Below are 10,212 nucleotides of genomic sequence, written 5' to 3' on the forward strand. Positions count from 1 at the left end.
GACTTAACAGCTAGAGGGCACTTGATGAATAAACGGAAATAAGGAAACCACATCAGATGACACCTCCCTTCTGAGCCCCACCCATGTCTACATTTGGGGAAGAACAGTTTAAGTCAAGGGATCACAGACTTGTGATTAGAGACTGCCAGGGTCCATATGACCAAGTGGGGGTCCCAGGTGTGAAGCTGGGGTTGAGGGTCCATTATCTGAATTCTCCACTCTATGGATGATCATTTTTATTATTTTCCTTTTCTTGAATTTATTTCCATTTGTTTATTCCTAAATTCCCTAGTATATCACCTGTGGAAGCTTGCAACTTCCTGACCAAGTATAAAGGGCGAAGGATTTGACTTACAGCAGAGACTTCAGAAGGAGTCCCCCATAGGAGGGACTTGGGGGCAATCCAGTGGGAAAGAGGAGGAGGACTGCGCTTGAGTTGTGTTTGAACAGCAGGCACTCAATCTCTACTTATTTTGCAGGCTTCTTTGAGGTGGCCTAGCTCGGATTCAAGGCATTCTCATCAAGGATGTGAGAGCAGTTACTGGGATATCCTTGGCTTCCCTGTTGGTTTGCCAACGAGAGCTCCCCTTCCTCCTTTGCCTCCAACCTGGTCTTCTTTGGAGGTTGGCTTCCCAGTGTTCTCCACCTTCCACAACTCCAAGGCCTGGCCTCAATCTCTACTTATTTTTCAGGCTTTTTGAGGGTATTTGAATGGAACACAAACCCTCCTTTGCCGCCAGCCACTCTTTCGCACAATCACTGCCAATGACCAGTTGGTTTAAATGGCCCTGAGGCTGACGGCATAGGCCACTCCCAGAGTCTGGCTGGTTAGCAGAGAGACCACAGAGCTGGGGCAGTCCATGAATGGAAGAGCTGTGGTCAAGGTCACTGCAGCCCCCATCTCAGTAACGGAGAATGGCTTCTCTGGGAACCCACCTTAGCTGCCTCCAGCAGCTAATGGCTGTCCCCTAGCTTGAGTCTTCTGGCACCTTCGTCACTTCTCCATATAACATGAACCCTGCTGTGAGGCATTTACAAGTCAGCCCTCTTCTAGCTTGGGAGCCATGAGACAGCAAGAACCTTCTTCAATTCATGTTTATGTTCTCTTTCAGGGAATATAGTAGGTGCTCAATCAATGGTTGTGGAATAAATGAAGGGAGACATTTCTCCTGTGATTCATGGACCATAAGTCACCACCACGATTCAGTGTCTATTGCTTTTGGCTACACACTAAAGTCACTGGTATGCCTGATAGCTTCACTTCCACACAGCCCAGTTGGTCTGCCTGGCATTGCTTCTTTCCAACCTTCCTCTAATGTTTGGAGCTAATGCCAGTCTGTGCAAGTATAAATCCTGCCCTACCACAAATGCCAAATTTACCATGCCATGGATTCCTACAGTTCTGCACTGGAAAGAATTTTTTTCTTTTTTTAAGAGACAGGCTCTCACTGTGTTGCCAAGGCTAGAATGCAGTGGTGTGATCATAGCTCAGTGTAACCTCAAATGCCTGGGCTCAAGCAATCCTCCCACCTCAACCTCCTGAATAGCTGGGACTACAGGCAAGAGCCACTACATCTGGCTTTCTTTTTTTATATTATATTTTTATTTTTATTTTTTATTTAGTTATTTATTTATTTGTAGAGAAAGGGTCCTGATATACTGCCCAGGCTTATCTTGAACTCCTAGCCTCTAGTGATCCTCCTGCCTTTGCCTCCCAAAGCACTGGGATTACAGGCATAAGCCACCATGCCCAGCCGGCAAGCCTATTTTTTAAGCTAAGTTGTGCTTTCCTCCTGGGCTCTTTTATCATTCATAGATGGTAACAGGAAGTGTAAGGGGACAATAGCCACTCATGCTTTGCTTTTACTGATGTTGGACTATTGTGCTCTAACGCCTAGACTAGAAAGGAGTCAAAGATGGGGTAGTCCCAGGAGGTGGGAGACTCCCTCTATTAATCATCTAGGGAAAATCAGCCCCAAGGGCAGAAAATAGTCACTGGGGACACAGGAGAAAAAAGACGGGGGCCTAGACTGCAAAACACCTGCCTATACTCAAGAAAGACCCTGAGGCCGGGAGAAGGATAGTTTTTGCCACAAGGGGGCAGCAGTTGCTAGACAGGGAATCCCCTGTGAGACACCCCCTTGAGAAAGACCAGGGCCAAGAGCAGGTATATTTAACACCGTATGTTAAGTTCTTCTTGGTGTATAGTTCCCTTCTGCTTTTCCTAAACCCTCAGTAAGTCGGTTCACTATTCCAGTCTATTTCAAGGAATCACTGAGGGGTTAGGGAAGAGGCTGGTCTCCTGGAGCCCGAGGAGTGAAGGGGAGCAGCCCTGCTGCATGAGTGTGGTGAGGGCAACAGCAATGCTGGGGTCTCCAGGAGAAGTTGCATCTGGAGGACAAGGGTGGAAAGAACCTTTCACTTCGCAGTAGGACGAGCATTTCACTGAAGGAGGGAGAAAGCACATATAGATGAGTTTAGAATAAAATTTTACCCACTTCAAAATGTTCCAGCAAGTCAGCCCACCCAACCTATCTTCTATACCTCACTTCCCACTTATAACTGTGCCCTCTTAAAATGGCCTAGAATGTTCCTGCTGAGAAGCATTTTTCCATTCCATGTAGAGCTCCTAATGCCACAAAGAAAGCTGTGACAGGTGCAGCCCGAATGCCAGTCAACTGGCAAAATGTAGTATCTCTTTGGGTGACATCTTCTTACCACTCTGTTTTAAACATGATGACTTCTGCACAGACCATGTGAACAGCACAATGTGGCTGTAAGAACATCTATTTTGTCCCTGCATCAGCCTTATGCCAGCTTCAGCATCTCTTCTCATTCCTCCAGAAGAATCCACTTGGATCTGGGATCAAAGTAGAGGAAAGGGGTAGAGGGAGGTTTCTCCTCTCTCCCCAGTGACGTCCTCGTAACCACAGCAACAGGCTCAGGGAGTGAGTCTGTGACCCAAGATGATCCAGTCAGAGCAAAGTTCAGATGTTTGCTCAATGAATGTGGAAAAGCAAGTATATAGTCTTGTTGCAGTCAGCAGCCATTTTGCTACCATAAATGGCAAAAACAGTCCAAGGAAAAAACCAACACACAGAAGAAGGCAGAGTTGAGAGAATCAGAGAAACAGACCAAGAGTCCTGAACAAACCATGCCCAGAGGCCATCTTCTCTCTGTACTTTCTTCGGTTCCATGAGCCAATAAATTGTCTTTATTGTTAAGACCAGTTTAAGTTGACTTTTCTGTTACCAGCAACCAAAACATGCCCAACTGTGAGAGTTCTGGAAACCAAATGTGGTCTAGGATGAGAGGAGCAGGGAGTAGTGTCAGTGAGACACTGGGTCAAGGCTGCAGTGGTAAAGATACAGGGGCATTGACAGACACGTGACCTAGCCAGGTGCAGACCTCCCAGCCCTGATCTCCAGTCTCCAGAGGAAGCCAGAGAAGGACCTTGAAAAGTGAGCATATTTGTTTCCTGCAATCTCCGTTTTAAAACTAAAATTAAATTTAAAAATTATTTCCTGCAATCTCAATTTTTTTTAAAAAAATTAACAAATAAATAAATAGGCCAGGCATGGTGGCTTATGCCTGTAATCCCAACACTTTGAGAGGCCAATGTGGGAGGATTGCTTGAGTTCAGGAGTTCAAGACAAGCCTGGGCAACATAGCAAGACCTATCTCTCTAAAAATAAAAAGTAAAAGTAAAAATTAGCTGGGCATGGTGGTGTGTGCCTGTAGTCCCAGCTATTAGGGAGGGTGAGGCAGGAGGATCACTTAAGCCAGAAAGGTCAAGGCTACAATGAGCTATGATCACACCACTGCACTCCAGCCTGGGTGATGAAGTGAGATCCTGTCTCTAAATAAATAAATAAAGTGAGCCTGGGCAACGTAGTGACACCCATCTCTACAAAAATGTTTTAATTATCTGGATGTACTAGCACACACCTATAGTCCCAGCTACATGGAAAGCTGAGGCAAGAGGGTCGCTTGAGCCCAGGAGTTCGAGGCTGCAGTGAGCTACGATCACTCCACTGCACTCCAGCCTGGAAGACAGAGTGATGTACTGTCCTGAAAGAAAGAAAAATTAAAAAAGGAAAGTGAGCGTCTGAGCACTCATCTGAAGGAAACGCTCCGGAATGGATTCAGAAAATCCGCATGAAGGACCCAGAATTCCTTGCTTTGAAGTCAGACAGACCAGGATGGAAATACTGGCTCTTCTTTACTAGTTTGTGATCTTGGGTGGTGATAGGAAAGCATTTTTCTATTCTATGCAGAACACCCAGTGCCACGAAGAAAGCCGTGACAGGTGCAGCCTGAATGCCAGTCAACTGGCAAATTGTGGCATCTCTTAACATTTATCAAAATATCCTTATCTATAAAAACGGGGATAATAATACTTACCTCTCCAAGCTGTTGTGATGATGGAAGGCTTGAGCTCCAAACCAGCTGGTACAAATCCCAACTCTGTCCCTGGCTAGATGTGTGCCCTTGGGCAGCTTAGATGCTCACTCTGTGCCTCAGTTTTCTCACCTGCAAAAGGATAATAAAAGTAGGACCTAGTTTATAGGATTGGCATCAGGATCAATTAGTTAATATATGTAAAGTGGTTGGCAGATAATAAGTGTTCAGTCACTTTTAGTTCATCCTGGTCTGGCTGGCTCCAAAGCAGGGAATTCTGGGTACTTCATGAGGATTTCTGAATCGATTCCGGAGGATTTCCTTCAAATGAGTGCTCAGATGCCCACTTTCCTTTATTTTTCTTTCTTTCAGGACAGGACATCACTCTGTCTCCCAGGCTGGAGTGCAGTGGAGTGATCATAGCTCACTGCAGCCTTGAACTCCTGGGCTCAAGCGATCCTCTTGCCTCAGCCTCCCATGTAGCTGGGACTATAGGTGTGTGCCACCACAACCAGATAATTAAAACACTTTTGTAGAGATGAGGGTCTTGCTATGTTGCCCAGGCTCTTATGATCACTTTATTTATTTATTTATTTATTTATTTATTTATTTATTTATTTATTTTGTACACAACCCCCATGGTCCCGTGGGGGAGCTGTGTATCGAACACACCAAAAAATGCAGAACCTTTGATGCTGAAATTCCACTAAAAGAGGGAAGGGAGGAAGGGAGGAAGAGGAGAGAGGGAGGGAAGGAAGAAAGGAAAGAAGGAAGGAAGGAAGGAAAGAAAGGAGGAAGGAAGGAAAGTAAGTTTATCACAGGGTTGTTTATAATAATAAAACAGCAATAATCTCAATGTTCTTCAAAAAATGTTTATACAAATTATACTGGATTTATAAAATGGAATACCATGCTTCTATTTAAAATAATGTACAGCTATAATTAATGCTATAGAAAAGTGTTTGTAATAGGATGCTAAGTGGCAATAAAGATTAAAAAGTAGAATGTACAGTATTACATTTTGTATCAAATACATATATGTGTATGCACAGGGAAAACACGGGAAACGTAGTCAAATGTTAGCAGGGGTTATCTTTGGGGATTGTAGATATTTGGGATTGTAGATATTTGCTTCCTTGCTTATGTCTTTTGATGTTGCTCAATCTTTAAAATAAGCATTACTTTTGCAATCAGAAAAAAAAAAAATACACACCAGGCGCAGTGGTTCACGCCTGTAATCTCAACACTTCAGGAGGCTGAGGTGGGTGGATTGCTTGAGATCAGGAGTTCGAGACCAGCATGGTCAACATGGTGAAACCCTGTCTCCACTAAAATTACAAAAATTAGCTGGGCATGGTGGCGTGTGCCTGTACTCCCAGCTACTTGGGAGGCTGAGGCAGGAGAATCGCTTGAGCCTGGGAGGCAGAGGTGAGCTGAGATTGCACCATTGCACTCCAGCCTGGGCAGCAGAGTGAGACTCGGTCTCAAAAGATAAAAGAAAAAAAATACATATTTAGCCATTTTCATAAAAAAAATCAGTAAATAAATACCACTGTAGCAGTCATTCCCAACCCCTCACTCCAATTTGCCTGCACAGCTCTGTTTGTGAGCAGACGCCCAGGACTCTGAGCTTCCGTCCCACTGGGCTCCTCCCTCCTCAGCCCTGAAACCTGCAGGCTTTTTTGCCTCTGGGCTCCCACACCACTTAGTTCTCCACTGCTGCTGTTTTCTCAGACTGTTTTATGCTTATTTCTAGGAGTCTTTGTCTCACACTGGACTATGAGTAGGCAGGACTCAGGCACAAAGCCTGGCACCTGGTCATGATTCATAAAGCTCCCCTGCCTTCTCTCCTGGCCCCTCCTGAAGGCCAGAACTGTAAAGGATTCTAGTTTGCATCCCTGGTGCCCAGCAAAGTGTGTGACACAAGGAGGGGTGTGTGACCTCTGCAGGTGCCTGGGACCTGGGCTCAGAAAAGCCCCACCTTAGCGTCTGATATTCTACAGTCGCTGTCTTATAATTCTTAATAATTTTATCTTGGAATGTGTGTTTTATAAGTGAAGTCAGCCAGGCACAGTGACTCATGGCTGTAATCCCAGCACTTTGGGAGGTCAAGACTAGAGGATCACTTGAGCTCAGGAGTTTGAAATCAGCCTGGGCAACATAGCAAGATCCCCATCTTGACAAAAAAAAAATTTTTGGGGGTGCCGGGCACGATGGCTCAGGCCTGTAATCCCAGCACTTTGGAAGGCCGAGGCAGGTGGATCACGAGGTCAGAAGTTCAAGACCAGCCTGGCCAACATAGTGAAACCCTGTCTCTACTAAAAATACAAAAACTAGCTGGGCATGGTGGCGCGCACCTGTCATCCCAGCTATGCGGGAGGCTGAGGCAGGAGAATTGCTTGAACCTGGGAGGCAGAGGTTGCAGTGAGCTGAGATCGTGCCACTGCCCTCCAGCTTGGGCGACAGAGCAAGACTTCGTCTCAAAAAAAAAAGTTTTTTTTTTTAATTACAAGTTAGGAAAAAAACATGGGAAGTCCACTGGGTCATGCACAGATACTGGGAGCCTCAGTTCACATGCTGTCCCACCTCTGTTGCCTTGAGGGATGAGGTCTCAGCTACCCGCTCCCCAGCCTCAAGACCACCGTAGTCCTCGCTTTCATGCCCGTCCGTGTGAAGAGACCAACAAACAGGTTTTGTGTGAGCAATAAAGCTGTTTATTTCACCTGGGTGCAGGTGGGCTGAGTCCGAAAAGAGAGTCAGCAAAGGGTGGTGGATTATCATTAGTTCTTATAGGTTTTGGGATAGGCTGTGAAGTTAAGAGCAATGTTTTGCGGGCAGGGGTGGATCTCACAAAGTACATTCTCAAGGGTGGGGAGAATTACAAAGAACCATCTTAAGGGTGGGGGAGATTACAAATTACATTGATCAGTTAGGGTGGGGCAGAAACAAATCACAATGGTGGAATGTCATCAGTTAAGGCTATTTTTACTTCTTTTGTGGATCTTCAGTTACTTCGGGCCATCTGGATGTATACATGCAAGTCACAGGGGATAAGATGGCTTGGCTTGGGCTCAGAGGCCTGACATTCCTGCCTTCTTATATTAATAAGGAAAATAAAACAAAATAGTGTTAAAGTCTTGGGGTGGCGAAAATGTTTGGGGGGTTGTATGGAGAGAGAGTGGGCGATGTTTCTCAGGGCTGCTTCAAGCGGGATTAGGGGCGGCGTGGGAACCTAGAGTGGGAGAGATTAAGCTGAAGGAAGATTTTGTGGTAACGGTTGATATTGTGGGGTTGTTAGAAGAAACATTTGTCATTTAGAATTATTGGTGGTGGCCTGGATACGGTTTTGTATGAATTGAAAAACTAGATGGAATAAGAGAAGGAGAAAAACAGGTATAAAAGGTCTAAGAATTGGGAGGACCTAGGACATCTGATTAAAGACTGCCTAAGGAGATTCAGCATAGTCCTGCCAGCAAAGATTATTTATTTACTTCAAGAGTTAAGAGTGGCAGTTTGGGGATAGCATGAGGAGATATCAGCTGTGATGGCTTGGAGAAACAGTGTAAACTGGCAGTGTAAACAAGAGCAGGGCATGTATGAGTAGTTGAGAATGGTGGATAGGAGTATGAGTAGACAGAAGATAGTATGGTTGACAAGTTTTTTTGGGGCACAGTCTAAGTTGGTCTGGTGTCTGGAATGAGACTGGGGCCTAATAAAAAGGAGCTTCTATACAGGAGCTTAAATGGGCTGTACCTTGTAGCATTCTGAGGACAGGCCTGACTTCTGAGAAGGGAAAGTGGTAAAAGTATTGTCCAGTCCTTTTTAAGTTGGTGGCTGAGCTTGGTGAGGTGTGTTTTTAAAAGACCTTTAGTCCGTTCTACTTTTCTTGAAGACAGAGGACCGTAAGGGATATAAAGGTTTCACTGAATACTAAGAGCCTGAAAAACTGCTTGGCTGATTTGACTAATAAAGGCTGGTCTGTTATCAGACTGTATAGAGGTGGGAAGGCTAAACTGAGGAATTATGTCTGACAGAAGGGAAGAAATGACTGTGTGGCCTTCTCAGACCCTGTAGGAAAGGCCTCTACTTATCTAGTGAAAGTGTCTACTTAGACTAAGAGGTATTTTAGTTATCTGACTCGGGGCATGTTGAGTAAAGCTAATTTGCCAGTCCTGGGTGGGGGCAAATCTTCAAGCTTGATGTGTAGGGAAGGGAGGGGGCCTGAATAATCCCTGAGGCGTAGTAGAATAGCAGATGGAACACTGAGAAGTTATTTCCTTGAGGATAGATTTCCATGATGGAAAGGAAATGAGAGGTTCTAAGAGGCGGGCTAGTGGCTTGTGCTATAGCATAGCCTGCCTTTGCTGGTGTGTGGCAATTAGGCCTGGTGGAATTGCCATCAATAAATCAAGTGTGATCAGGGTGAGGAACAGGAAAGAAGGAAATATGGGGAAATGGGGTGAATGTCAGGTGGATCAGAGAGATACAGTCATGGGGGTCAGGTGTGGTATCAGGAATAATGTGGGAGGCCAGATTGAAGTCCGGGCCAGGAACAATGGTAATTGTGGGACTTAACAAAGAGTGAATACAGCTGAAGGAGCTGGGGAGCAGAAAGTATATGCGTCAGGTATGAGGAAGAAAATAGATTTTGGAAGTTATAAGAAATGTAGAGAATGAGTTGAGCACAGTTTGTGATTTTTAGGGCCTCTAAAAGTATTGAAGCAGCGGCAGCCGCTGCACGCAGACATGAGGGCTAGGCTAAAACAGTAAGGTCAAGTTGTTTGGACAGAAAGGCTACAGGGTGCGGTCCTGGCTCTTGTGTAAGAATTCTGACCCCACTAACCATGCCTAGGAAGGAAAGGAGTTGTTGTTTTCTAAGGGATTGAGGTTTGGAAGATTAATCAGACACGATCAGCAGAGAGAGCACGTGTGTTTTTATGAGAATTATGCCGAGATAGGTAACAGATGAGGATGAAATTTGGGCTTGACTGAAGTAATGGGGGCTGTCTGTGAAGCCTTGCAGCAGTGAAGCCCAGGTAATTTGCTGAGCCTAATGGGTGTCAGGGTCAGTCTAAGTGAAAGCAAAGAGAGGCTGGGATGACGGGTGTAAAGGAATAGTAAAGAAAGCATATTTGAGATCCAGAACAGAATAATGGGTAGTAGAGGGAGGTATTGAGGATAGGAGAGTATATGGGTTTGGCACCACAGGGTAGATAGGCGAAACAATTTGGTTGATAAGGCGCAGATCCTGAACTAACTTGTAAGGCTTGTCTGGTTTTAGGACAGGTAAAATGAGGGAATGGTAAGGAGGGTTCATAGGCTTTAAAAGGCCATGCTGTAGCAGGCGAGTGATAACAGGCTTTAATCCTGTTTAATCCTGTTAAAGCATGGTTTAAACCATGCTGTGGGATGGGATCTTGGCATTGAGTGGGGTAAGGGTGATTAGTTTTTAATGAGATGGTAAGGGGTGCCTGATCAGTCGCCAAGGGGGGAGTAGAGGTATCTTATACTTGTGGGTTAAGGTGGGGGAAAACAAGAGGAGGATGCAAAGGAAGCTTTGGATTGGGAAGAAGGGCAGCAATGAGATGCGGCTGTAGTCCAGGAATAGTCAGGGAAGCAGATAATTTGGTTAAAATATCTTGGCCTAATAAGGGAACTGGGCAGGTGGGGATAACTAAAAAAGAGTGTGTAAAAGAGTATTGTCTAAGTTGGCACCAGAGTTGGGGAGTTTTAAGAGGTTTAGAAGCCTGGCTGTCAATACCTACAACAGTTATGGAGGCAAGGGAAACAGGCCTTTGAAAAGAAGGTAAT

At 45.2% G+C, this 10,212-nt stretch overlaps 1 annotated feature.

The window, feature by feature from the left end:
• Positions 7,902 to 8,401: an enhancer, noted in NCBI's record as "H3K27ac hESC enhancer chr2:219039587-219040086 (GRCh37/hg19 assembly coordinates)". NCBI's record gives its function as "activates a minimal SCP1, AML or CMV promoter by ChIP-STARR-seq in primed H9 embryonic stem cells {active_cell/tissue: H9 hESC(primed)}" and the evidence as "EXISTENCE:reporter gene assay evidence [ECO:0000049][PMID:30033119]".

This window comes from Homo sapiens, chromosome 2, assembly GCF_000001405.40.
Source record: "Homo sapiens chromosome 2, GRCh38.p14 Primary Assembly".
Taxonomy (NCBI): domain Eukaryota; kingdom Metazoa; phylum Chordata; class Mammalia; order Primates; family Hominidae; genus Homo; species Homo sapiens.